At 42.3% G+C, this 27,950-nt stretch overlaps 1 protein-coding gene across 4 annotated transcripts in view, besides 4 other annotated features; it reads left to right on the top strand.

Moving 5' to 3' along the window:
* The window catches only part of PSMD12 (proteasome 26S subunit, non-ATPase 12), a 28,662-nt gene extending 16,349 nt beyond the window's left edge, over nt 1-12,313 (top strand). For 3 of the 4 annotated variants that reach the window (NM_174871.4, NM_002816.5, NM_001316341.2), the window contains 7 exons: nt 1,575-1,679; nt 2,744-2,893; nt 2,979-3,113; nt 4,372-4,484; nt 5,449-5,623; nt 7,966-8,043; nt 9,177-12,313. In NM_174871.4, coding sequence (NP_777360.1) covers nt 1,575-1,679; nt 2,744-2,893; nt 2,979-3,113; nt 4,372-4,484; nt 5,449-5,623; nt 7,966-8,043; nt 9,177-9,386 — 966 coding nt within the window. In that variant the 3' untranslated portion in view covers nt 9,387-12,313. Of the gene's footprint in view, nt 1-1,574; nt 1,680-2,743; nt 2,894-2,978; nt 3,114-4,371; nt 4,485-5,416; nt 5,624-7,965; nt 8,044-9,176 lie in introns of those variants that run through there. The other variant, XM_047436440.1, reaches the window with a different exon arrangement.
* Nucleotides 18,632-19,472: an enhancer, noted in NCBI's record as "H3K27ac hESC enhancer chr17:65326873-65327713 (GRCh37/hg19 assembly coordinates)". NCBI's record gives its function as "activates a minimal SCP1, AML or CMV promoter by ChIP-STARR-seq in primed H9 embryonic stem cells {active_cell/tissue: H9 hESC(primed)}" and the evidence as "EXISTENCE:reporter gene assay evidence [ECO:0000049][PMID:30033119]".
* Nucleotides 22,407-23,123: an enhancer, noted in NCBI's record as "NANOG-H3K27ac hESC enhancer chr17:65323222-65323938 (GRCh37/hg19 assembly coordinates)". NCBI's record gives its function as "activates a minimal SCP1, AML or CMV promoter by ChIP-STARR-seq in primed H9 embryonic stem cells {active_cell/tissue: H9 hESC(primed)}" and the evidence as "EXISTENCE:reporter gene assay evidence [ECO:0000049][PMID:30033119]".
* Nucleotides 25,809-26,009: a silencer, noted in NCBI's record as "peak2952 fragment used in MPRA reporter construct". NCBI's record gives its function as "represses an SCP1 promoter by STARR-seq MPRAs in K562 erythroleukemia cells {active_cell/tissue: K562}" and the evidence as "EXISTENCE:reporter gene assay evidence [ECO:0000049][PMID:32103011]".
* Nucleotides 27,629-27,829: a silencer, noted in NCBI's record as "peak2951 fragment used in MPRA reporter construct". NCBI's record gives its function as "represses an SCP1 promoter by STARR-seq MPRAs in K562 erythroleukemia cells {active_cell/tissue: K562}" and the evidence as "EXISTENCE:reporter gene assay evidence [ECO:0000049][PMID:32103011]".

The following is a 27,950-nucleotide window of genomic DNA, read 5'->3' as shown; positions in this document are numbered from 1 at the left end:
GTAAATTTTCTGTTGACATAACTCAAAATGATATGAACTGTTTTTTCTGTATTCAGAGATACTTAATGTATGTAGATATTTTGTATATTTTTATGTTTATTTTTTAAAGAAATACACAAAATGTCATCACTGTAATTCAACCAATAATGTCTTTGTACATCCCTTTCTGCAAATGAATCTATTTAAATACTGACAGCCATGGTATATCTAGATTTTTCTGGGAATTGGGTATCTTATCACGGATTTAAATGTGACTTTAAAAAAAATGAATAAAAATTCTACAGGGTCAGGGTGTGGGAGAAGAGCATTTTAGACATAGAGGAAATAATATTCAAAGATAACAAAGTAAGAAATGTATAATAGATGTAGGAAGCTGTAATTGGTTTGATATTATTGAAAATAGGGTAAGCAAGCCTAAGCATGAAAATTCATTCACTAGGTGCTTTAGGTTATACTGTAGTCATATTTTTGGTGTTTAATTTGTTGGAAATTATAAATCTACTAACATTACTTATAGCTACAAAAATGTTAACAACTTTAATACCTAGCAAAATTAGATATTTTTAAAGAAGGTAGTCTTGTATTTAAAGATAAGTCAGAATTAGAGTATTAATTGAAGACATTGGACTACATATAACACACTTTTCAAATAATCACAAGGCATTTTGCATCTTCTGTGCCGTTTATGTAGCTTGTGGTCCTATTATTTGTTAAACATAGTAATTTCATATTTAGGTTCTCAAAGCAGAGTTACAAAATATGGATAAGGTTTTATAGAGACATTTTCTTAAGAATTATGGCTATATTTGTGAAATATAAAATGTCTCACAGCTGTATTTGTACATGGCGGATAAAGTGCACAAGAGCTGTAAAATATTCTTATAGCTGGGTTAAAGAATAGTTCGGTTCTGGCCAGGCACAGTGGCTCACGCCTGTAATCCCAGCACCTTGGGAGGCCGAGGTGGGCGGATCATCTAAGGTCTGGAGTTCAAGACCAGCTTGACCAACATGGAGAAACACCCTCTCTACTAAAAATACAAAATTAGCTGGGCGTGGTGGCGCATGCCTGTAATCCCAGCTACTCTGGAGGCTGAGGCGGGAAAATCAGTTGAACCCGGGAGGTAGAGGTTGTGGTGAGCCGAGATCACGCCACTGCACTCTGGCCTGGGCAACAAGAGCGAAACTCCATCTCAAAAAACAAAAAAAAGTAGTTCAGTTCTACCTTTTATTTTTTTGAGACAGTCTCACTCTGTTGTTGAGGCTAGAGTGCAGTGGCCTGATCATGGCTCACTGTAGCCTTGAACTCTGGGGCTCAAGTGATCCTCCTGTGGCACCCTCCCAAGTAGCTGGGACTAAAGGTGCATGCCACCACACTCAGCTAATGTTTTGATTTTTAGTAGAGACGGGCTCAACATGTTTCCCAGGCTGGTCTCAAACTCCTGGACTCAAGCGATCCTCCTGCCTCAGCCTTCCAAAATGTCAGGATTACAGGTGTGAGCCAACATACCCAGCCTACTTTTTAAATTTTAACACGTTTCCATGGAATTTTGATTGTGTAAATTTCTCATTTGTAGATTTATGTTGAAATTGAGCGTGCGCGACTGACTAAAACATTAGCAACTATAAAAGAACAAAATGGTGATGTGAAAGAGGCAGCCTCCATTTTACAGGAGTTACAGGTAAGGTATTGCATTTTAGAGTTGGTAAAACTTTGTTTTGTCAGCAGCATTTTCTAATGGAAATATAGGTTGAGTATCCCTTATCCAAAATGTTTGGGACCAATAATTATTTTGGATTTTGATTGAAAGCCTGTGAATGGCATCTTTTTTCATACTGAAAATTGTCATTTCCTCATTAGCCATTAAGAAGATGCAAATTAAAACCACAATGGGGTACCACTACATACCTATTAAAATGCCTACAGTTTAAACAATAAAATACTCATTGCTGGTGGGGATGCAAAGCACCTGGAACTCCTGTACCTTACTGGTGAGAATGCAAGGTGGTGCAGCCAGTCTGGAAAACAGTTTGGCAGTTTCTTATAAAGTTACACATATGCTTACCATATGACCCAGCAATCCCACTCTTGAGTATTTACCCACGGGAAATGAAAACTTATGTTTACGTAAACCCAGTCTACAAAACCTGTTCAGAATAGCTTTATTTGTGATAGTAAAAAGATAAAATCAGCTCAGATATCCTTCAACAGGTGAATAAACTGTGGTATGTCTGTACGATGGAATACTACTAAGCAATAAAAGTAAATGAACTATTGATGTATAACTTGAGTGAATCTTACAATTTAGGCCATTATACAGAGTGAATAAAGACAGCCTCAAAGAGTTACATACTATATTTGACATTCTTGAAAAGACAAATTTGTAGTGATGAAGTACAGATCACTGGATGTCTTAGGAGGGCTTATGAGTGGGGGAAGTGTGTGATTATAAAGGGACAGTATGAGGAAGATTTTTGGGGTTCTGTGTCTTCATTGTGATGATGGTTATGCAAATCACTACATGAGTTAAAATTCATAGAATTTTATACCAAAAGGGGGAAAATCCATTATAAATTGTAATTTTCTAGCGGTAACTAGCTTTTAATGTAATTGTCAACACTCTCCCTATATACATGAAGGTTCTTATTATTTAACAAGGATGAATATTTTAATATCTATTTCATTTTATTGCAATTCACAAAATTGCAAAGTATTATAAACTTATTTGGGGAATTACTGTGCTAGGTGGAAACCTACGGGTCAATGGAAAAGAAAGAGCGAGTGGAATTTATTTTGGAGCAAATGAGGCTCTGCCTAGCTGTGAAGGATTACATTCGAACACAAATCATCAGCAAGAAAATTAACACCAAATTTTTCCAGGAAGAAAATACAGAGGTGAGCATATCTGTGACCACATGTTTACTTTAAAAGTATGAATAAAACCCATAAACCCCAATTTGTTTTGTCAACTTTTTTGCAGAAATTAAAGTTGAAGTACTATAATTTAATGATTCAGCTGGATCAACATGAGGGATCCTATTTGTCTATTTGTAAGCACTACAGAGCAATATATGATACTCCCTGTATACAGGCAGAAAGTGAAAAATGGCAGCAGGTAAGAATATATTCGTGTAATTGACATGGCTTCTTATTCAGAAGAGTAATTTGCTTTTTTTATTTTCAAATCTTTTTAACTGCAATAGTTAGATGCAATTGTATGGTGCTGCTTTCTATTCAGTGTTGTTCAGTATATTACTGATTCAGTCCAATTGCAGCCATAGTTTAGATTATGTCTCACTTTTGGAGAAATGTAGGATTCCTGTTTAAAATGTGTACAGTGGGTCATATCCTAATAAAGGTTGCAGTTAAAGACCCGGCATTACTTTGGAAAATTATTTTACAAAAGCTGTTTTAAGGGGCTTATTTATATATATATTCCACATTTATACTGCTAACTTGTTATAAGAACTTTTTCTTTATACATTTGTCAAAAATGAATGTCAAGAAAAATGTCAGCTGAGGGGAGTAAGTCAGATTAGCAATGATTTATTATAATAGTTTTGTGAAAACTAAATACTATAGAAAGACACTATGAAAAGGCAGCCTTGCAATATTTTTCCCCTTAAGACTTTTTTTTGTTTGTTTATTTGTTTTTTGTTTGTTTTTGAGACAGAGTCTCGCTCTGTCGCCCAGGCTGGAGTGCAGTGGCACAGTCTTGGCTCACTGCAACCTCCGCCTCCCGGATTCAAGTGACTCGCCTGCCTCAGTCTCCTGAGTAGCCGGGACTACAGGCATGTGCCACCATGCCCAGCTAATTTTTTTTTTTCTTTTTTTTTTTGAGACAGAGTCTCACTCTTGCCCAGGCTGGAGTGCAGTGGCGCAATCTCGGCTCACTGCAAGCTCCTCCTCCCAGGTTCACACCATTCTCCTGCCTCAGCCTCCCGAGTATCTGGGACTACAGGCACCCGCCCCCACGCCCGGCCAATTTTTTGTATTTTTTAGTAGAGACAGGGTTTCACCGTATTAGCCAGGATGGTCTCGATCTCCTGACCTCAGGTGATCCGCCCGCCTGGGCCTCCCGAAGTGCTGGGATTATAGGCGTGAACCACCGTGCCCGGCCTAATTTTTTTTTATTTTTGTATTTTTAGTAGAGATGGGGTTTCACTGTGTTAGCCAGGATAGCCTCGATCTGACCTCAGGAGATCTGCCCACCTTGGCCTCCCAAAGTGCTGGGATTACAGACGTGAGCCACTGCGCCCGGCCAAGACTTTAAAATTTGAAATGGATATATAGTTATTCCATGATTGTTCAGTTTTTGTCAAAGTTTCCATTATGTCCAGTCTTGCATATAACTTGTTGTACAACTCTTTTAGGCTCTGAAGAGTGTTGTACTCTATGTTATCCTGGCTCCTTTTGACAATGAACAGTCAGATTTGGTTCACCGAATAAGTGGTGACAAGAAGTTAGAAGAAATTCCCAAATACAAGTAAGTACTTTTGAAATTAGCATGATATATCTCAGTCGAAACACCATTTTGAAAGAAAATTGGCTAACCTAAGTGTATACTTCTGTGTATACTTCTTTTTTTGAGATGGAGTTTTACTATTGTTGCCCACACTGGAGTGTAATGGTGTAATCTCAGCTCACTGCAACTTCTGCCTCCTGGGTTCAAGTGATTCTTCTGCCTCAACCTTCCGAGTAGCCGGGATTACAGGCACCCGCTACCATGCCGAGCTAATTTTTGTATTTTTAGTAGAGACAGGGTTTCACCATGTTGGCCAGGCTGGTCTCGAATTCCTGACCCCAGGTGATCCGCCCACCTCGGCCACCCAAAGTGCTGGGATTACAGGCTTGAGCCACTGCGCCTGGCCTAAGTGTGTACTTCTTAATTGGTTACTGATAGCGTATACTAGAGAATAAAACTAGAGAGGATAACGTGGTGGAATTTTTTTTTAGCATTGCATCAGCAGTAAATGAGATTATAACATACTTTCTTCTAAATTGCTTATCAAGTGGAAGTTTCATATCAGGTCTACATTTGCAGCTTTTGATTAATTATTTGATAGAGTTTCATCATTAGTAGTTTAGAGCTTTGTGATTTTCAGAAATACATACTTGTGAAAATCTATTATATAAAATAGACTTGCTTCATCATAAACACAACAGGCTCTTATTTCTGTTTGTTTCATGAGTACATTTACATTCAGTTATTTCAGAAATTGACAGTGCAGAAGAGAGCAGAGTGTTAAGTGGGAGAATGCTGTATTCTGAACTACTGTGGGAAAAATGGTAATAAAGTTGGTAAAATACACAATAATCATATGGTGTCTCATTCTACTAAATAAAATTTAACGAAAACAGTCTTTGCTGAATTTTTTGAACTTTGCTATTATATTAGTTAATACTTAATTTTTACAGATTTGGAATATTAAGATGTATACAATTTTCAGGGATCTTTTAAAGCTTTTTACCACAATGGAGTTGATGCGTTGGTCCACACTTGTTGAGGACTATGGAATGGAATTAAGAAAAGGTTCCCTTGAGAGTCCTGCAACGGATGTTTTTGGTTCTACAGAGGAAGGTGAAAAAAGGTGGAAAGACTTGAAGAACAGAGTTGTTGAACATGTAAGAATCTGTCATAGAGATGACAATTTTTATTTTAACCTTTAGTGAATTTACTTTTTAGAATTAAATTTTGGCAATTTTGAGCATAAACTATTTCATTTGTCACATTTGATAACCAAATGTTCATTTAGGATGTTATGTGTTTAATTCTTCACTTAGGATATTTTTTTTCTATGCCCACTGTAGTAGTGATGCACATTTGGTGTTCAGATGTTTACTCTGCATTTCCCAAAGCATATTGGAATGTATCTCACTCATCTTGGGTTTTTTCCCTATTTTTGGCTTTTCAGAAAAGATAGCTATATTTTAGCTTGCTTCATTGTGAGAGAACCTCTTAAGAATCCAAAATTTATAGTATATAAACCAGACAGAATTTCCGAAGAATGGGGGCAGGAGGGTGTTTCTCTCTTAATATTCACTAGTCTTGGAAGCAGGTAACATGTCTTAAACCTGAACTTTGATCTTTTTAGTATCACTGCCGTTATGTTGTATTATGTTGCCATTCACTCCTTCATGTAACAAACTTTATTGTGAGCCTTCTGTGTGCCAGACACTTTACAAAGCACCAGGGCACACAGGAGAATAAGACAGTACCCTCCCTAGGCCGGGCGTGGTGGCTCACACCTGTGATCCCAGCACTTTGGGAGGCTGAGGTGGGCAGATCACCTGAGGTCAGGAGTTCGAGACAAGCCTGGCCAACATGGTGAAACCCCATCTCCACTAAAAATACAAAAATTAGCCGGGCGTGGTGGCGCACACCTGTAATCCCAGCTACTCAGGAAGCTGAGGCAGGAGAACTGCTTGAACCCAGGAGGCAGAGGTTTCAGTGAACGGAGATCACACCAATGCACTCCAGCCTGGGTGACAGAGCAAGACGCCGTCTCAAAAAAAACAGACATTACCCATTACTCTACCTTTAATAAGATTAAAAATTATAGGGAAAGACGTACTTATAAATAAAAAGAGTATCAGATATTGTAGTACAAGTATCTAGAGAGCAGAGGGAGGCTTATGGGAAACTTTGGTAGTTCTACATGGAGAAATGATCAGGTCGGATGAATCGATGATTGAGGTGAGGTTTGTAAGAGGAGTGTGAGGTTATCGGGCAGACAGGAACAAGGGAGGGCAGCCTGCGCACCAAGTCCCTCTGAGAGTGAGTGTGGAGAATGCATTTGGAGAGATAGGAGACTAGAGAAGACTAGTAAGGTGAGAGATACATGGATTTTAAATAAGGCAGTAGCCAACGGATTAAAGACTGCTTGGAATGGGATTGTTTTAAGGAAGGAAATCAATAGAATGCAGCCATTGATTAGACTTAAAGCATGAAGGAAAAGGTTAGATTTAAAGGATAAAAGCACAGAGAAGAATGCTTCTCGTGCTTTCTGATGTGTTGGTGTTGCCATCAGCCCTGATAGAGATGGGAGAAGATGTAGCTTCTTCAAAGATTGAGTTCATTTTTCTCCCCACTGTTCCCCCACCTTTTTTTGAGTGCTATTGTTAATAATACTACCAATAAGAACAGTAAAGGGGAGTCTCTGTGTCTTAACTTCAGCACCATCGCCAGTTGAAATTAGGAAATTTAATTTGAAGCTATCTTTAAGTCATTGGAATAATGGTAAAGTGATGAGTATTTGAAATGATGTCTAATCTTTTTTTTTTTTTTTTTGAAAGAGAGTCAGTGTAGCTCTGTCATCCAGACTGGAGTACAGTGGCACAGTCATAGCACACTGTAACCTTGAATTCTCGGGTTCAAAGAATTCTCCCCCCTCAGCTTCCTAGGTAGCTAGGACTATAGGCATGCACCACCATATTCAGCTAATTTTTAAATTTTTTGTGGGGATGGGGTCTTGCTGTGTTCCCAGGCTGGTCTTGGTCTCCTGGCCTCAAACAGTCTTCTTGCCTCAGCCTCCCAAAGTGCTGGGATTACAGGTGTGAGTCCCTGCACCCGATCGATCTCCAATCATTTTTTAGATTTTAGCCTTTAAAACATTTGTGTTATAATTAGAAAATCTTAACTTTAGATTCTTGCACTCAGCAAAAATATTTCAGTACAATTATAATTTTTAACCACTAGTTAAGACAGGCATATATTTTGACTATATATTTAAAGAGCTGTGTAGAATATTCATAGTAATTCAGAATAACTACAGAAACCAAAATATCTAAGTATTTAGTTTTGTTATTGAAACTTAGAACTAGCTTTGCTCCAGTGATGGACTGTAGAAAAATAAAAGCTCTGAGTCTAACATTTTAAGTAAACTTACTTGGATATGAAAATAAATGGACTTTTAGACTTACTGACAAATGTTACGTGTTCTCCCTGCTCTCTATCCTCTCCCCAGAATATTAGAATAATGGCCAAGTATTATACTCGGATAACAATGAAAAGGATGGCACAGCTTCTGGATCTATCTGTTGATGTAAGTAGTAATCAACTTTGAGTTATTTGTAGGCATTCCTTTTGAATGTTGACTTGTAAAAATTGAGTAAGAAAATCAATGTTATGATTTAATTTTATGTTTAGGTAATAGAGTAATAGTTTCCCAAGCAATCTTGAGTACCAAAAACTAACTTAAGTATCAAGTGATCCTAGGTCTTGTTGGAACAGTGTTGTCTTTAGGTCCATGTTTCTATGTTGACAAAATGCATAGCACACAAAGAGGAGTTAACCCAAGTGTGTAGTAATGGCCTGAAAGCCATTTCTGTCCCCAGAAGGATCTGTGACAGTTTAGGTGGTAAGACTCATGGAACATTAGAGTTGGAAGGTTTGTTCCTTGATCAGCTTGTCAGCTCTTGTCACTTATGAATGAGAGTACCAGAGTCCTTAGAAGTCAAGTGTCTTGTCCGTGGTACATACTTGCCAAGTAGCAGAGCATATATTCTAACCCAGCATTTCTGGAAACAAATTAACTGTACCATACTGCCTTTTAAGGGGAAACTTTGTAGAAAAGGGAGTAGACCAACTTGCCGTTGGCATGGATACCAGCAGTATTGAGCTTGCAAGGAGGCAGATTCAAACTCACCCCTGACTGAGTCTACTCAGATTCTATTCATTCCCTAGACTATCAGTAAAATAAGTACTTATTATAGGAAGTCAGCAGTTGCTAACTCTTTTTTTTTTTTTTTTTTTTTTTTTGAGGCAGAGTCTCACCTTGTCGCCCAGGTGGGAGTGCATTGGTGCGATCTCAGCTCACTTCAACCTCTACCTCCCAGGGTTCAGGCGATTCTCCTGCCTCAGCCTCCTGAGTAGCTGGGACTACAGGCGTGTGCCACCATGCCTGGCTAATTTTGGTATTTTTAGTAGAGATGGGGTTTCACCATGTTGCTCAGGCTGGTCTTGAACTCCTGACCTCAAGTGATTCACCCAATTCAGCCTCCCAAAGTGCTGGGATTACAGGTGTGAGCCACCACACCCAGCTGAGTGTTACTAACTCTTAAGAATGAATTCCCCTGCATATTCTTGGATGAAGAGTTCAGAAAATGCTTTTCTGAAGTTTTGTTTATTGTCTGTAATTTATCCTGTCTTAATCCAATTTATCTTTCTCTCTTGCAGGAGTCCGAAGCCTTTCTCTCAAATCTAGTAGTTAACAAGACCATCTTTGCTAAAGTAGACAGATTAGCAGGAATTATCAACTTCCAGAGACCCAAGGATCCAAATAATTTATTAAATGACTGGTCTCAGAAACTGAACTCATTAATGTCTCTGGTTAACAAAACTACGCATCTCATAGCCAAAGAGGAGATGATACATAATCTACAATAAGGGTCTTAGTGCTTTAGAAAAAAGTTAAAATTGGAAGTCATTAAAAAAAGACTGTTATAATGGTGTATATGTTGGGGTTTTTTTTCTAAGCTTCTTTGTCTTAAATTTTAAAATAGTGAATATGTTTGAGACTCCCTTTGACCTTTCAGTTCCCCAAGTTCATTGTTAACTTTGCATTTGCAATTGGTGCAAAAATACAGATTTCTGTCGTCTGAATACACAAAAAGTTGTGTCATAACTTACCCAGATATGTTTTTCTATCATTTGAAACCTTTTTAGCTACTGTTTGTTTTCATTCAACTAACAAACATATTCCAATAATAAAAGCAGTATATACATATTTCCTTTCTACAGTTACCTCTGATTCTCAACATTTTGTGGGGTAGTGATTTGGCAAGTGTTTTTTAAATAAAACAAATCTCATTGTAAAGCTATCAGTCATTTAGTAGAATAGAAAAGCAACATAGAGCATACAAGAACATTTGGGATAGAGTTGTGATTTGTGAAGAATTTGTACTTTGATATTGTGGCGGAAAGTCTAGACTGAGTGTGTATGCTGGTAAACTGTAGACTTTTTTTTTTTTTTTTTTGAGTCCGGCTGGTTCCAATCACAGTAGCTTGATTGCTTTCAGCCCTCATCCTCTCACTTGATCAGTTGTTCAACAGAATCAGCTGACATAATTGACACAGTTTATTGGGTGTTAAGTCCGCTCTATAGGGATAGTGACTACTTTTTTTTTTTTTTTTTTTTTGCTCTTCTTCCTCTCCCCTTTCTTTATATGGGTTTAAATTTAACATAAAGTTGTTTTTATAAGGCTTATTTGTGGCTTTAACTTGTAAGTCTGATTACATCATTATTGTTCCAAATTCATTATCTCTGTAGGAACTTTTAGTTCCATTATATGAACACTGGATAACCTAATTTTTTTTAATGCTTTAAAAAAATGGCAAAAAGACGTCAGGCCACCCTCATAGTAAGTGGTGTAGTATTAAAATATTTTCACGGAATTAAAAGTAGCTTGCTGTCAAAGAAACACCTGAGATGAATTGGTGTGAACGAATTTTGCAAGTTTAATTTGATTTATTTCAGAGAAAATAGAAAAAACAATGTTAGAAGGTTATTTAAAATGATACTTAAATAAAGAAAGTGTGAGGTCTACTTTAAAAAAATTCAAATGAAGAGAAAAAGAAAAACAGCATTCTAGAAATGGCATTTCTCCTAATTAATTTTCCACTTAATGGAAGATTATCAATTGTCCTATTTTATGATCCCAGGACTGAAGACAGTTGTGGGATATCTGTCATATTTATCCTGTGAGTCATTGTGAATAATGACATACAGTACTGAAGTAATCTGATTTTATTCTTTGGAAATTCAATGCATTGGTCACACTAATAACATCAACATCTGCTATCACTTATCTTTTTAAAACTAACCAAAAAAGGCCGGGTGCAGTGGATCCCAGCACTTTGGGAGGCCAAGGCGGGTGGATCATCTAAGGTCAGGATTTCGAGACTAGCCTGGCCAACATGGCAAAACCCTGTCTCTACTAAAAAAAATACAAAAATTTGCCGGGCGTGGTGGCGTGTGCCTGTAGTCCCAGTTACTTGGGAGGCTGAGGTGGGAGAATTCCTTGAAGCCAGGAGGCGGAGGTTGCAGTGAGCCAAGATCACACCATTGCACTCCAGCCTGGGTGACAGAGTGAGACTCCGTCTCAAAAAAAAAAAAACAAAACTGGAAAGTTCAGAAACAGAAGTTCACACTAACAGAGTATGGTTTTAATTTTCCTTTGAATGAAAAGGATAGAAGATAAAATTGTGTATTGTTAACATGTAAATAAAATTGGAGCTAATTTGAAACTAGCTTCTCAATAACTTCATCTTTCTAGAGACTCATTACCTGTGGGCTTGTCAAACCTGGACTATTTGGCCAAATAGGTTGCTATAGAGATTGCAAGTGTTCCTCCTCTTTATTTTTTTCATATTTTTTGAGACGGAGTTTCACTCTTGTTGCCCAGGCTGGATTGCAGTGTCACGATCTCGGCTCACTGCAACCTTTGCCTCCCATATTCAAGCAGTTCTCCTGCCTCAACCTCCCAAGTAGCTGGGATTATAGGCGCCTGCCACCACACCTAGCTAATTTTTGTGTTTTTAGTAGAGATGGTTTCATCATGTTGGCCGGGCTGGTCTCAAACTCCTGACCTCAGGTGATCCACCCGCCTTGGCTGCCCAAAGTGCTGGGATTACAGGCATGAGCCACTGCACCCAACTCCTCTTTCGTCTTTCTTTAACACACACTAGGCTCTTTGTGTATTATGATTCAGTGCTATTTGTAACTGTGTCCCAGTGACCAAATTGCACTCGACTCGATCAGCTGTTCATCCATTTCGTGTTTTTTCCTGTCAAACATTAATCCAGCAAATATATGAGGTATTTACCAATTTATTTTCTTAGTATTACAAAATAATTCATTAGCATAAAGTACAATAGTGAAATATTTGAGTTGTTCGGAACCTCAATTAATCCTGTTTTACATTTCAGACCTAAAGCTGGCAATCAGGAGAAGAAGCACTTTGTTTTAAATGTGGAGAAGATAACACTTGATTCCATTTCATTGTCATTAGTGTATTAACCAGCAGGAGAGGTGATGAGCCATTTTTCAAATGAAATACCTTTTATTTCCATATAATTTTTTTATTTTAGAGTTCAATAGCTGTTTCTATGATTATCCTCAATTTCCATATGTTACTGAATCTGAAAAACATCTTTAAAATTCAAACAGTTCCATTTTCTCTCTTGTAAGTGTTAAATGTGATAAAAGTACATATTTTAAATTGTTTTCAGCTCTTGGATATAGCAGCAATAAAAACACTAATTTGTGGGTATTTAAGAAAACCTGGAGAATAAACTCATACTTTAAAAGATCACTTCTCTTTTCAGTTCTCATTGTCTGAAACAAAAAGCCATAATTTTCATTTTTACCCCAAATCATCTCTCTCTAAACCTACTTTTTTGTTTTGTCTTTTAAGACTTTATTATATTTTTAGAGCAATTTTAGATTCACAGCAAAAGTAAGTGGAAGGTACAGAAATTTCCCATATCCTCCTTGCTCTCACACCTCCCTCATTGTCAACATCCCCCACAGAGTGGCACATTTTTTACAGCTAATGAACCTGTTTTGACACCATTATCACCCAAAGTCCGTAGTTTACGGTTCATTCTTGTACATTCTGTGTGTTTGGACAAATGTATAATGGCATGTATCCACCATTATACTACCATAATACTTCACCGCCCCACAGTTCTCTGCCAGTTCATATCTTCCTGCAAATCCCCTGACAATTGTGAGTCTACGGTTTCCATAGTTTTTCCCTTTTTCAGAATGTCATATAGTTGGAATCACAGTAGGTAGCCTTTTTTTTTAGATCGGCTTCTTTCACTTAGTAATACGCATTTCCATTTCCTCCACATCTTTTCATGGCTTGATAGCTTATTTCTCTTTAGTGCTGAGTAATATTCCATTGTCTGGTTGTACCACAGTTTATCCATTCAGCTCCTGAGGGACACCTTGCTTATACATTTTGGCAATTACAAATAAAACTAAACATCTGTGTGCAGGTTTTTGTGTGGACCAAGTTTTCAAATCCTTTGGATGAATCTGAACCTGCCTTTTAAGCGGTGACAAAACACCTTGCACATGTTTCGAAAGCCAGCTGACGGACTTTGCCCCTCCTAAACTCCCGATTTGGGGTTGGTGGCTTAGGCCGTGCTTTATTGGGCACCTGACAAGTGGTTCTTCATCTCAAGGCCCATCAGAATATGCGCGGGGCTTGTTACACACAGATGCTGGGCTCCACCCCCAGATTCACACTCAGTCGGGATGGAGCGGGGCCCACGAATTTTAATTTCTAACAAGTTCTCAGTACCCGAACTACTGGTCCATGGACCGCACTTTGAGAACCACTCTTCTTGACAACATGGGTAGTAAGGACTAGAAAAGAACTGAAATGTGTTGGTGTTTTAGATGTTTAGGGGAAAAAAACATGGATATCAGTTAAGGTACATGTGGCGGTAAAGCTACAGCGAGATGCTCATCCGGAGCCCGTTGTTTTAGGAGTTTAGTGGTTTGAAAGTCTGCTTCCATACTGCCTTCTGTGATGCAGAGAAATGGTCTTGGCATTTTTGAGAGGATATTAAACAATTTTCCTAACTTAGAGCTTTATTTTTTTTTATTTTTTATTGTTTTTATTTTTTGAGACGGAGTCTCGCTCTGTTGCCCAGGCTGGAGTGCGGTGGCGCAACCTCGGCTCACTGCAAGCTCCGCCTCCCAGGTTCACGCCATTCTCCTGCCTCAGCCTTCCGAGTAGCTGGGACCACAGGTGCCCGCCACCACGCCCGATTAATTTTTTTGTATTTTTAGTAGAGACGGGGTTTAACCATGTGTTAGTCAGAATGGCCTCCATCTCCTGACCTCGTGATCCACCTGCCTCAGCCTCCCAAAGTGCTGGGATTACAGGCGTGAGCCACCGCGCCCGGCCCTTTTTTTTTTTTTTTTTTTTTTTTGAGACGGAGTTCCTCTCGTCACCCAGGCTGGGGTGCAATGGCACGATCTCGGCTCACTGCAACCTCTGCCTCCGGGGTTCAAATGATTCTCCTGCCTCAGCCTCCTGAGTAGCTGGGATTATAGGTGTGAGCCCCCATGCTCGGCTAATTTTGTATTTTTAGTAGAGACGGGATTTCACCAGGTTGGTCAAGCTGGTCTTGAACTCCTGACCTCAAGTGATCTACCCACCTCGGCCTCCCAAAGTACTGGGATTACAGGCGTGAGCCACCACGCCTGGCTTTTTTTTTTTTTTTTTTTTTTTTTTGCTTTTGAGACAGGGTCTCATTCTCACCCAGGCTGGAGTGCTTACTGCAGCCTTGAACTCCTGGGCTCAAGTAATCCTCCCATCTCAGCCTCCCCAGTAGCTGGGAGTATAGGCGTGTGCCACCATGTCTGGCTAATTTTTTAAGTTTTTTGTAGAGGCTGAATGTGGTGGTTCATACCTGTAATCCCAGCTACTTGGGAGGCTGAGTCAGGAGGATTGCTTGAACCTGGGAGGTTGAGGCTGCAGTGAGTCATGATTGTGCCGCTGCACTCCAGCCTGGGAGACAGAGCGAGTGTAGAGACAGGGTCTCACTATATTACCTAGGCTGGTCTCAAACTCCTGGCCTCAAGGGATCCTCCCACGTCAGCCTCCCAAAGCGCTGGTATTACAGGCATGAACCACTGCACACAGCCTGGAGCTTAGTATTTAGTATATGGAAAGAACTGAATGACATTTCTTTGAAGTTTCCAAGTTTCATTATCTTGCTATTCTTACTAAATTAGGGACCATGTTTATCTTTGTAATCCATCATTTGTTACATAGTAGAAACTTAAGTGCTTGTTGAATTGCTTAATCTTTTTCAACCCTTCATTATCACACCCTGCTGGAATTTTGTTTCTATCTTCATGTCCAACCTTACATTACTCTGAAAAGTTTTTTCCCAAGAGTATATCCACCGTAAAAAATAGACTGGGCATGGTGGCTCACACCTGTAATTTCAACACTTTGGGAGGCCAAAGCAGGAGGATCCCTTGAGGCCAAGAGTTCAAGATGAGCCTTGCCAAGATAGTGAGATCCCCATCTCTACAAAAAAATTTAAAATGGCTGGGAGGGAAAAAACAATTTGCTATAGCTCAGATTAGCCTAGCATAATGGTACGTACCTGTGATCCTAGCTACACAAAAGGCCCAGGTGGCAGAATCACTTGAGCCCAGGAGGTGGAGGCTACAGTGAGCTGTGATTGTGTTCCCAGACCAAACCACAGGTGGGGCTGCTTATTCTCACGGCCCAGTAACGAGATGTAAATGAATTGGGAAAGAAGGCAGTTTATTTCTGTAACAGGGTACAGGGTAAAGGTCTGGAAAATATCGCCAGACCAACTCAAAATTACAGAGTTTTCCAGAGCTTATATATACCTTCTAAGCTGTGTCTACGTGTAAGTAGCATTCATCTAAAGACATAAGTGATTAACTTTTTTTTTTTTTTTTTTTTGAGACGGAGTCTCACTCTAGGCTGGAGTGCAGTGGCGTGATTTCGGCTCACTGCAAACTCCGCCTTCCGGGTTCACGCCATTCTCCTGCCTCAGCCTCCCGAGTAGCTGGGACTACAGGCACCTGCCACCATGCCCTGCTAATTTCTTGTTTTTTTTTTGTTTTTTTTGTTTTTTTGTTTTTTTTTTTACTACAGACGGGGTTTCACGGTGTTAGCCAGGATGATCTTGATTTCCTGACCTCATGATCCGCCCACCTCGGCCTCCCAAAGTGCTGGGATTACAGGCGTGAGCCACTGCGCCTGGCCATAAGTGATTAACTTCTAATCATTAACTAAGATCTAAGTCCTGAAGACCTTCTGGAGCCTCAGTAAATTTACTTAATCTAAATGGGTCCACGTGCTGGGGTGACTACCCTTATCTTGTCTCCTGCTAAATCACGGAGGTTTGGGGAATTTCTTCAGATGCCCCAATAAACTTGTTTGTGGAGGTCTGGGGAGTTTCTTCAGCGCCCCCCTCCCGCCCCCCCACCCCCCGAATAAAGCTTGTTTAATTCTAAACGGGTACTGTTAAGAATTTCTGCGTTATCTTGTCATGCTTTAAGGCCTAGGAAGGGCCTGGGCAAAACTCTTGATGGGCTTTTATTATGTTCCAGCCTTTGTAGAAGGGCGTTGGCTCTCTCAGCTTTTAATATTGAACTTCACCACTCAGTCAGTGCTGAAACAGTTGTTACAGAGGCCTGCGTTAGTGAGACCTGGCCTGCCACAATCGCACCACTGTACTCCAGCCTGGAGAACAGGGCAAGACTGTCTCTTAAAATAATTTAATTAAATGAAAGTAAACACTCAAAGTCTCTAAAACATTTCCCAAATTGTAGCTTCCAAGATTACATTGGTTTCTTCAAGTTTTCCAACATGAAGAACAGTTTAATAACAGTCTGAAATGCCCTGTTTAAGAAATAGGACTCAGCTTCCCTTTGTAGTTCTTCCACTCTCCGCCCCTCAGATACTTCTAACTCACTGGAAGGAGATATTCTACCACTTTCCCATATTTCTTTCATTTTATTTAGTGAACACTGTGGTCTGCCACCCAGCTAGTCTCCTTCAAGACTGAAAAACAGTCCTGAGAGTGTTAATGACCCATAGCTGAGTGTGTCCTCACCCGCTTCCTCCACTCCCCGTGATCACCTTCAGCTGAAGAGAGCTACCTCCCTTCCAATGACAAATTGATATAAGAATATGAAGTCCTGGTCCTCTTGCTACAATTTGGGACAACTCTGAAGGGCCATTTTAGCTCTGGAGAATTCCCGCAAGATTGACTGAGGCCTCTGTTACAACCATATTGTGGTTCAACTCCTCCCTCTTCCCAATCCTCCTTCCTTCACTTGCTTATGGGAGCTGATCTCCCAAGCAAGCCTCAATAAGCTCTCTGTGCAAATATCCATTTCAGAGTCAGCTTTTGGGGGAAGCTGGTCTATGGAAGCTAGGTCCCTATGATAGTTGGTGCTGGAAGTGGTCTGAGAAAGCTGACTCAAAAAACTGGATTTCATAGCCAGCTTACCAACTGGCCAGCTGGCAGTGAGAACCCCATCACTGGTAATAGGTGGAGCATGTACAGCCCCCAGCATATAGTAGGGGTGCAGTTGTTAAAACTGCTGGTGAACTAGGATGACTGATGAAAGGTATATTATTAGTCCATTTTCACGCTGCTGATAAAGACATATCTGAGACTGGGCAATTTACCAAAGAAAGAGGTTTAACTGGACTCACAGTTGCATGTGGCTAGGGAGTCCTCACAATCATGGTGGAAGGCAAGGAGGAGCAAGTCACATCTTATGTGAACGGTGGCAGGCAAAGAGAGGGCTTGTGCAGAAAGACTCCCATTATTATTATTACTATTATTTTTTGAGATGGAGTCTCACTCTGTCACCCAGGCTGGAGTGCAGTGGCACGATCTCAGCTCACTGCAACCTCTGCCTCCCAGGTTCAAGTAATTCTCCTGCCTCAGCCTCCTGAGTAGCTGGCATTACAGACGTGCTCCACCACGCCCAGCTAATTTTTGTGTTTTTAGTAGAGACTGGGTTTCAACATGTTGGTCAGACTGGTCTCAAACTCCTGACCTCATGATCCACCCGCCTTGGCCTCCCAAAGTGCTGGGATTACAGGCATGAGCCACCGCGCCCAGCCGAGACTCCCATTTTTGAAACCATCAGATCTCGTGAGACCCATTCACTATCACGAGAATAGCACCAGAAAGACCTACCCCCATGATTCAGTCATCTCCCACCAGGTTCCTCCCTCAACACTTGGGAATTATGGGAGCTACAAGATGAGATTTGGGTGGGGACACAGAGCCAAACCATGTCATTCCATCTCTGACCCCTCCCAAATCTCATATCTTCACATTTCAAAACCATTCATGCCTTTCCAACAGTCCCCCAAAGTCTCAGCTCATTTCATCATTAACTCAAAAGTCCACGGTCCAAAGTCTCATCTGAGACAAGGCAAGTCCCTTCCACCTATGAGCCTGTAAAATCAAAACCAAGTCAGTTACTTCCTAGATACAATGGGGGTACAGATATTGGATAAATACAGCCATTCCAAATGGGAGAAACTGGCCACAACAAAGGGGCTACAGACCCATGCAAGTCCAAAATCCAACGGGATGGTCAAATCTTAAAGCTCCAGAATGATCTCCTTTGACTCCATCTCTCACATCCAGGTCACGCTGATGCAAGAGGTGGCCTCCCATGGCCTTGGGAAGCTCTGCCCTTGCGGCTTTGCAGGGTATAGCCCCCCTCCTGGCTGCTTTCATGGGCTGGCATTGTCTGTGGCTTTTCCAGGTGCACGGTGCAAGCTGTCAGTGGATTTACCATTCTGGGATCTGGAGGACAGTGGCCCACTTCTCACAGCCCCACTAGGCCATGCCCCAGTAGGGACTCTGTGTGGGGACTCTGACCCCACATTTTCCTGCTGCATTGCCCTAGCAGAAGTTCTCCATGAGGGCCCTGCCCCTGCAGCAAACTTCCGCCTGGATACCCAGGCATTTACATACATCGTCTGCAATCTAGGCAGAGATTCCCAAACCTCAATTCTTGACTTCTGTGCACCCACAGGCTCAACACCACATGGAAGCTACCAAGGCTTGGGGCTTGCAGCGTCTGAAGCAACAGCCCTAGCTGTACCTTGGCCCCTTTTCATGATGGCTGGAGCAGCTGGGATGCAGGGCACCAAGCTTCTAGACTGCACCCAGCAGAGGGACCCTGGGTCTGGCCCACGAAACCATTTTTACTCCTAGGCCTCAGGGCCTGTGATGGGAGGGGCTGTTGCAAAGGTCTCTGACATGCTCTTAACACTCACTTCCTTGTTACTCATGCAAATTTCTGCAGCCAGCTTGAATTTCTTCAGAAAATGGGATTTTCTTCTCTCTTGCATTATCAGGCTGTGAATTTTCCAAACTTTTATGCCGTGTTTCCCTTTTAAAACTGAACGCCTTTAACAGTCATCTCTTGAATGCTTTGCTGCTTAGAAATTTCTTCCACCAGATGCCCTAAATCATCTCTCTCAAGCTCAAAGTTCCACAAATTTCTAGGGCAAGGGCAAAATGCCACCAGTCGCTTTGTTAAAATACAACAAGAGTCACCTTTGATCCAGTTCCCCATCTCCATCTGAGACCACCTCGGCCTGGACCTTATTGTTCATATCACTATCAGCATTTTTGTCAAAGCCATTCAACAAGTCTCTAGGAAGTTCCAGACTTTCCCACATGTTCCTGTCTTCTTCTGAGCCCTCCAAACTGTGTGAAACATAAACCACAACAGGGGTAGAAACATATCCTTACCCTCTGCCTGTTACCAGTTCCAAAGGCGCTTCCACATTTTTGGGTGTCTTTTCAGCAGCACCTGACTCTACTGGTACCAATTTGCTGTATTACTCTGTTTTCACGCTGCTGATAAAGACATGCCTGAGACTACGAAATTTACAAAAGAAAGAGGTTTAGGCTGGGTGTGGTGGCTCACACCTGTAATCCCAGTATTTTGGGAGGCCGAGGCAGGCTGATCGCTTGAGGTCAGGAATTTGAGATGAGCCTGGCCAACCTGGTGAAACTCTGTCTCTACTAAAAATACAAAAATTAGCTGGGTGTGGTGGCATGCACCTGTAATCCCAGCTACTCAGGAGGCTAAGGCAGGAGAATTGCTTGAACCCAGGAGGTGGAGGTTGCAGTGAGCCGAGATTGTGCCACTGCACTCCAGCCTGGACAGCAGAGTGAGACCCTGTCTCAAAAAAAAAAAAGAAGAAAGTAAGAGGTTTAATTGGACTCACAGTTCCACATGGCTGGGGAGGCCCCACAATTATGGTGGAAGGCAAGAAGGAGCAAGTTGCATCTTACGTGGATGGTGGCAGGCAAAGAGAGGGCTTGTGGGGAGGGACTCCTGTTGTTAAAACCATCAGATATTGTGAGTCCTATTCACTATCACAAGAACAGCACGGGAAAGACCTGCCCCCATGATTCTCACCAGGATTCTCCCACAACACATGGGAATTATAGGAGCTACAAGATGAGATTTGGATGGGGACACAGAGCCAAACCATATCAGAAGGGAATGAATGACCTTTAAGTAATTTTGTGGAAATAGGCCCGGTGCGGTGGCTCACACTTACAGCGCTTTGTAATCCCAGCACTTTGGGAGGCCAAGGGGTCGGGGGGGGGTGGATCACCAAAGGTCAGGAGTTCAAGACCAGCCTGGCCAACATGGTGAAACTCCGTCTCTACTAAAAATACAAAAAATTAGCTGGGCATGGTGGTGGGTGCCTGTAATCCCAGCTACTCCAGAGGCTGAGGCAAGAGAATTGCTTGAACCCAGGAGGCAGAGGTTGCAGTGAGCCAAGATCATGCCACTGCACTCCAGCCTGGGGAACTGAGTGAAATTCTGTCTCAGGAAAAAAAAAAAAAAAAAAAAAAAGAAATATTGTGGAAATAGTCAAAAGATAATGAATTTGGATGGTTGGTTGTTTCTTGGGGCGCTCAGTAGTTAGGAGAAGGACAAAGGCTTAGAATGATGAATCACCAACTGGGGGTTAAGTGTGAAAACCAGAGGGGCCTCCTTGGCACCTTATTAAGAGACTCATCTACAGTGTGTCAGTAGCTTTGAGGATCTGGCCTAGGAATTGCCAGAGTAGCGGAGCTCCAGGGGAGGTCGAACAGTCAACCTCAATAACCTGGTCTGTTATGCTAATGTCAGGCCCCTAACTGGATTGGAAAAGAGGGGGACTCTGAGATAAGGGATGGAGACAACTGGATCCATGTACTTAAGAATCTTGAAGTTGGCCGGGTGCAGCGGCTAACGCCTGTAATCCCAGGACTTTGGGAGACCGAGGCAGATAGATCATGAGGTCAGGAGATCAAGAACATCCTGGCTAACATGGCGAAATCCCGTCTTTACTAAAAATACAAAAAATTAGCCAGGCATGATGGCAGGTGCCTGTAGTCCCAGCTACTTAGGAAGCTGAGGCAGGAGAATGGCATGAACCCAGGAGGCGGAGCTTGCAGTGAGCCGAGATCGCGCCACTGCACTCCAGCCTGGGATTCAGTCTCAAAAAAAAAAAAAAAAAAAAAAAAAAAATCTTGAAGTCAAGATCCCCCTGAAACCTTAGATTTTATAGAAGTGTTAAAGAATACCCTTACCTTGCCTGAAGATGATTCTACAGAGATGTCTGCCTTATAAGGCAACGTGAACAACGTGAACAACTAATAAGGATTAGTAAAAGAGGAGGTAGAACAACGTGATCTACCTCCACCTCCCCTCCTAATCACCAGACCAATAACTAGGGTTAAAATTACAAAATAATTGGCTAGGGAAATTCACTTGGGAAATAGACCAAACTCTAAAGGAACTACAGGATCTAGCCAGCAAAAACCAGAAAAGTATATATGGGATTGGATCCTGAGGATGCTGGAACAAAGGTTTCATGCGCATCCATGTGAAGAGACTACCAAACAGGCTTTGTGTGAGCAACATGGCTGTTTATTTCACCTGGCTGCAGGCGGGCTGAGTCCGAAAAGAGAGTCAGCAAAGGGTGGTGGATTATCATTAGTTCTTACAGGTTTTGGGATAGGCAGTGAAGTTAAGAGCAATGTTTTGTGGGCAGGGGTGGATCTCACAAAGTACATTCTCAAGGGTGGGGAGAATTACAAAGAACCTTCTCAAGGGTGGGGGAGATTAGAAAGTACGTTATTAAGGGTGGGGGAGATTACAAAGTACATTGATCAGTTAGGGTGAGGCAGAAACAAATCACAATGGTGGAATGTCATCAGTTAAGGCTATTTTTACTTCTTTTGTGGATCTTCAGTTACTTCAGGCCATCTGGATGTATACGTGCAAGTCACAGGGGATGCAATGGCTTGGCTTGGGCTCAGAGGCCTGACAAGTTTGTCTTAGCCCATTTTCTGTTGCTATAACAGAATATCACATACTGGGTAATTTATAAAAAATTATTTGGCTCAAGACTCCGGAGGCTGGGAAGTCCAAGGGCGTAACAGCAGCTTCTGGCATACAAAGTGTACTGCTTCATAATATGTCAGAAAAGTGGAAGGGCAAGCAGGTGCAAGGGAAAGAGAGAAAATCAAGTGAACTCATCCTCTTATGGAGAGCCCACTCCCACAATAGCTAATCCCCTCCTACAATAACAGCATTAATCCATTCATGAGGGCACAGCCCTCATGGCATAATTACCTCTTAAAGGCCCCATCTCTTAATATTGTTATAATGGCAATTAAGTTTCCAACACATGAACTTTGGGGGGGGACACATTTAAACCACAACAGGGGTGGAAACATACAGTTGGAGAAGAAATAACTTATCAATATGGAAGCACTCTCCTGAGATACAGGATTTAAGACCCCAGCAAGGACCTGGAGAGCAGGTGCTAATATGCTGTTAGGATGACCTTTGGAAGTCTGGAGGAAGCAGCAAGCCCCACTAAGTGAAGTAAGTGTGGGGAAAAGAAAGAGAGATCAGATTGTTAATGTGTCTGTATAGAAAGTAGACATAAGGGACCCCATTTTAATCTGTAACCTTACCCCCAACCCTGTGCTCCCTGAGACATGTGCTGTGTCAACTCAGGGTTAAATGGATTAAGGGCTGTGCAAGATGTGATTTTTTAAACAGATGCTTGAAGGCAGCATGCTCCTTAAGAGTCATCACCACTCCCTAATCTCAAGTACCCAGGGACACAAAACACTGCGGAAGGCCTCAGGGACCTCAGCCTAGGAATGCCAGGTATTGTCCAAGGTTTCTCCCCATGTGATAGTCCGAAATATGGCCTCATGGGAAGGGAAAGACCTGACTGTCCCCCAGCCCGACACCCGTAAAGGGTCTGTGCTGAGGAGGATTAGTAAAAGAGGAAGGAATGCCTCTTTGCAGTTGAGACAAGAGGAAGGCATCTGTCTCCTGCCCGTCCCTGGGCAATGGAATGTCTCGGTGTAAAACCCGATTGTATGTTCCATCTACTGAGATAGGGGAAAACCGCCTTAGGGCTGGAGGTGGGACATGCGGGCAGCAATATTGCTCTTTAAGGCATTGAGATGTTTATGTATATACCTATCTAAAGCACAGCACTTAATTCTTTACCTTGTTTATGATGCAGAGACCTTTGTTCACGTGTTTATCTGCTGACCTTCTCTCCACTATTATCCTATGATCCTGCCACATCCCCCTCTCGGAGAAACACCCAATAATGATCAATAAATACTAAGGGAACTCAGAGGCCGGTGTGGATCCTCTGTATGCTGAACTCCGGTCCCCTGGGCCCCCTTTCTGCTTTCTCTATACTTTGTCTCTCTGTCTCTTTCTTTTCCAAGTCTCTCAATCCACCTAACGAGAAACACCCACAGGTGTGGAGGGGCAACCCACCCCTTCAGTAAGAAATGCTAGAACTGCTGTGGCAAAGGGTGGAAGAAAGATGAAAAGACTCAGGGAAATGGGCATACTGAGTGGATGTGCCACATAAGGCCAGAAAACCCATCAGATGACTGTTCTGCAAGAGGGCCCAGAAGACATGCCATTGATCAAAGCAATGAGGAAAGCTCTGGTGACAAATACCCTTACATCATTCAGCAGCTCTCTGATGGCTGTCCTCTAAAGGTCAGGGCTTCCAGCAGGAGATGCAGTCACAGAACTCAGCTCCCTGGTAGAAATGGAAATGATAGGATTCTAGTATAATAGAGGCCAGGACACTTAATCATCAGAAACAAGATGGGGCCGGGCATGGTGGCTCATGCTTGTAATCCCAGCACTTTGGGAGGCTATGAGCGGATCGCCTGAGGTCAGGAGTTCAAGACCAGGCTAATCAACATGGTGAAACCTGGTCTTTACTAAAAATACAAAAATTAGCCAGGCGTAGTGGCGGGCGCCTATAATCCCAGCTACTCAGGAGGCTGAGGCAGTAGAATTGCTTGAACCTGGGAGGCGGAGGTTGCAGTGAGCCAGGATCGCGCCACTGCATTCCAGCCTGGGTGACAGAGTGAGACTCCATCTAAAAAAAAAAAAAAAAAAAGTAAAGAATAACAAGATGGGCACAAAAGTCATGAGTGACAAGGTGAGAATGGTGGCAAAGGGAGCCTGATGTGCACAGAACTATGGAGATGGTTAACAAAACATGGCTTCTCTAGAGTCAAGATAAATGGACAATCAGTAAGGTGTTAATCGATACAGTCAGAAAAAATTAAAGCACCCCAATAGATTGTCATGATGCCTTGGCCAGTTTCTGAACTGGAGCCAGTTTTTATACCCAGATTGGAGGAGAAACTGGGTCCTGGGAGGAAGGAAACTGCAGCCTTCAGCAAGTGTGCGTAGTAATGATTCCCCATTCCTTCTCCTTAAAGGACTATGACCATTCACTTGGGTGAGCATCCGCCAGGCAAAGGGCTACACCCCAGCATTCCAAGGACTGTTGGACACAGCATCTGAGTTCACATTGCTATATCCTAGGACCCAAATTGTCATCACTACCCCTCCCCCAACTGCCCATTAGAGGATGTTAATATGTGGAGACCAAGAAATAAATGAAGTTGGTCGGGTACTGTGGCTCACGCCTGTAATCCCAGAACTTTGGGAGGCTGAGGTGGGCGAATCGCAAGGTCAAGAGATCGAGACCATCCTGGCCAACATGGTGAAACCCTGTCTCTACTAAAAATACAAAAATTAGCTGGGCATGGTGGCGCATGCCTGTAGTCCCAGCTACTCGGGAGGCTGGGGCAGGAGAATCACTTGAACCCAGGAGACGGAGGTTGCAGTGAGCTGAGATTGCGCCACTGCACTCCAGCCTGGCGACAGAGTGAGACTCGGTCTCAAAAAAAAAAAAAAAAGACAGAAAGAAATGAAGTCTTGAGTCACAACCAGCTCACAGTGTGTCAGGGGTCCATGGTCATTTCTCAACCCCCAAATATATCATTCGATGGACCTACTTGGAGTTGGCGAACCCCCACATTAGTCTCTTAACCTGTGACATATCATAGTGAGAAAGCCTATCGAGAAGCCTCTAACCCGCTTCTTACTCTTTTTTTTTTTTTTTTTTTTTTTTTTTTTGACGGTAAATGCGGGGGATTTTATTGCCAGTGAAAGTGGCTCTCAGCAGGAAGGGGAGGTGAAAAGGGGAGGGGACGGGAAGGTAGTCTTCCCCTGAAATCCGGCCATCTCCAGCCAGATTATTCTCTGAGATTACCCTGTCAAGCTGTCCGTCTGAAGTCAAGCCACTTCTCTCTGACATCCAGACGCAGTCTTCAACGTCCAGCTGCTTCTCCTCTTTCTGCTGGCTGAGTATGGGGTTGTTTTTTTTTTTTTTTTTTTTTTTTTTTTTTTTTTTTATTATACTCTAAGTTTTAGGGTACATGTGCACATTGTGCAGGTTAGTTACATATGTATACATGTGCCATGCTGGTGCGCTGCACCCACTAATGTGTCATCTAGCATTAGGTATATCTCCCAATGCTATCCCTCCCCCCCGGCTTCTTACTCTTTACTGGCCAAACAGAAAATTGAAAACACCATCACATCCTGCGAGGAAGGGCAGAGATAAGCGGCACCCTTAAAGACAGAATGAATGCACAGGTGGCAATCCCCATTCTGTGTCCTTTCAGTTTTCCAGTCTAACCCCTACCAAAACCAGACAGGGTCTAGAGAGTGACAGTGAACTGCTGAACACACACCAAGTGGTAGCCTCAATTGCAGCTGTGATGCCACTTAAGGTGTCTCTGCTAAAAGAGACTGACATGGCCCCAGGCCTGTGATAGGTGCTACTGGCCTAACAAATGCATTCTTTTCTCTCCTTATCAGAATCAGTTGACATCCACTTAGGATGGACAATAGTATTACAGCTTTTCTCCAGGCTCTGTTAACTCTTCCTCTTCTGTCAGGAGACATCCCAAAAGCAGCTGGACCATCTGGACATCCTGCAGAGCATCCCACTAGGCCACAATATTGATGACAGGAGGTGAATCAGACAAAATGAACAAGAGGTGACAAGTATATAGAGGGACTTGGTAAGACTCATGCTCCAAAGAGCCAGAGAGAAACTCTGTGAAGATCTAGGGCCTGGCAGATCAGTGAAGGTTTTAGAGGGCCTGGCCTGAAGCATGCTGGGACATTCCTTACAAAGTAAAGATCAAAATACTGTTTATTTTCTTTTTCTTTCTTTCTTTTTTTTCTTTTTTTTGGGACGGAGTCTCACTCTGTGGCCCAGGCTGGAGTGTAATGGCGCGATCTCAGCTGACTGCAACCTCCACCTCCCAGGTTCAAGCAATTCTCCTGCCTCAGCCTCCTGAGTAGCTTGGACTACAGGTGCCCACCACCACACCCAGCTAATTTTTGTATTTTTAGTAGAGACGGGGTTTCACCACATTGGCCAGGCTGGTCTTGAACTCCTGACCTCCTCAGCCTCCCAAAGTGCTGGGGTTACAGGTGTGAGCCACTGCACCCAGCCCAAAATATTATTTCTCACAACTTCCCCATGACAAAAGAAACACAATGCCCCTTCGGTTCTGGTGATAGTACATCTCACACCTGGGAATGCTGTGTTGACCTATGTACCAAGAGCCATGGAAGGCTGCCCCAGGAAAGGACTCGGTGACGTCACCCTGATACCAAATGCAGATTTTGTAAACCTTGATTTTACAACTCTTTACATTTGTCAAAACTCATGAAACTGTACACTTAAAAATAATGTTATTCTATGTGAATTATATGTCAATAAACTTGATTTTACAAAATTAGCTGTATTAGGCTGGACAAAGGCAGTGGCTGTTAGTTTGGAGAAACAAGGATACACACCAGAGATATTAAGAAGTTGGAATTAAAGAACTTAGGCTGGGCGCGGTGGCCCACACCTGTAATCCTAGCACTTTGGGAGGCTGAGGCAGGCAGATCACTTGAGGCCAGGAGTTCGAGACCAACCTGGGCAGCATGGCGAAACCCCATCTCTACTAAACATAGAAAAAATTAGCTGGGTATGGTGACACATGCCTGTAATCCCAGCAATTCCGGAGGCTGAGGCATGAGAGTTGCTTGAGCCCAGGAGATTGAGGTTGCAGTGAGCTGAGACTGCACCACTGTACTCCAGCCTGGGTGACAGAGCAAGACTCTGTTTCAAATAATAATAATAATAATAATAAAGAACTAAAAAGCACTGTAATCTGAGCTATAGCAAATTGCTTCTTTTCCTCATACACCCACTCATTAAATTGGAAATAGAAGTTGTCTTCATTATATGGAAAAAATAATTTTGGTCAGTCCAGCATTAATATAGTAAAAGGAGGGTTAAGATAGCTATGCGGATAATTTTCTGTTTTAATTATGTATGAATAAACTTTACAATACAATGTTTTTAAGACACATTATCATTTCTTTGATGATAGCATCATCCTGTGTTAACAACTAAGTTAAGGTTTTAAATTCACCTATGAGCTGCTCACCTTTTGAAAATTAAACACTGGGTGGGTTGCAGTGGCACATGCCTATAACCTTAGGACCCTGGGAGGCTGAGGCTGGCAGATGGCTTGAGCCCAGGAGTTTGAGACCAGCCTGGGCAACATGGTGAGTCTACATCTCTACAAAAAAATTTAAAATTAGCCAGGCATGGTGGTATGTACCTGTAATCTCAGCTACTAGGGAGGGGAGGATCACCTGAGCCCAGTGAAGCAGAGTCATTGTCTGGGGTAAATACCCAGGGTTTGTCATCTCACACCAAGAAGATTAAGGACATGGACACACATGAGAAGTGAGTTTAGGAGGGAAGCTTTAATAGAAAAAAAAAAAGAGAGAAAGGAGAACAGCTTTCTCCCTTGCCAGAGAAAGGGGCTTCCAAAAGGAAAACCATGCCCTCCAGGGACTGCACTATATTTTATAGGCAGGCTTGAGGAGGTGGTGTCTGATTTACATAGGACCCACAGATTGGTTCCATCAGGTGTGACATTTACATAGTGTGCTGGGAA

Source organism: Homo sapiens, chromosome 17 (genome assembly GCF_000001405.40).
Source record: "Homo sapiens chromosome 17, GRCh38.p14 Primary Assembly".
NCBI lineage: Eukaryota > Metazoa > Chordata > Mammalia > Primates > Hominidae > Homo > Homo sapiens.
Note: the sequence above shows the minus strand (reverse complement) of the source record. Positions and strands in the feature narration are given on the sequence as shown.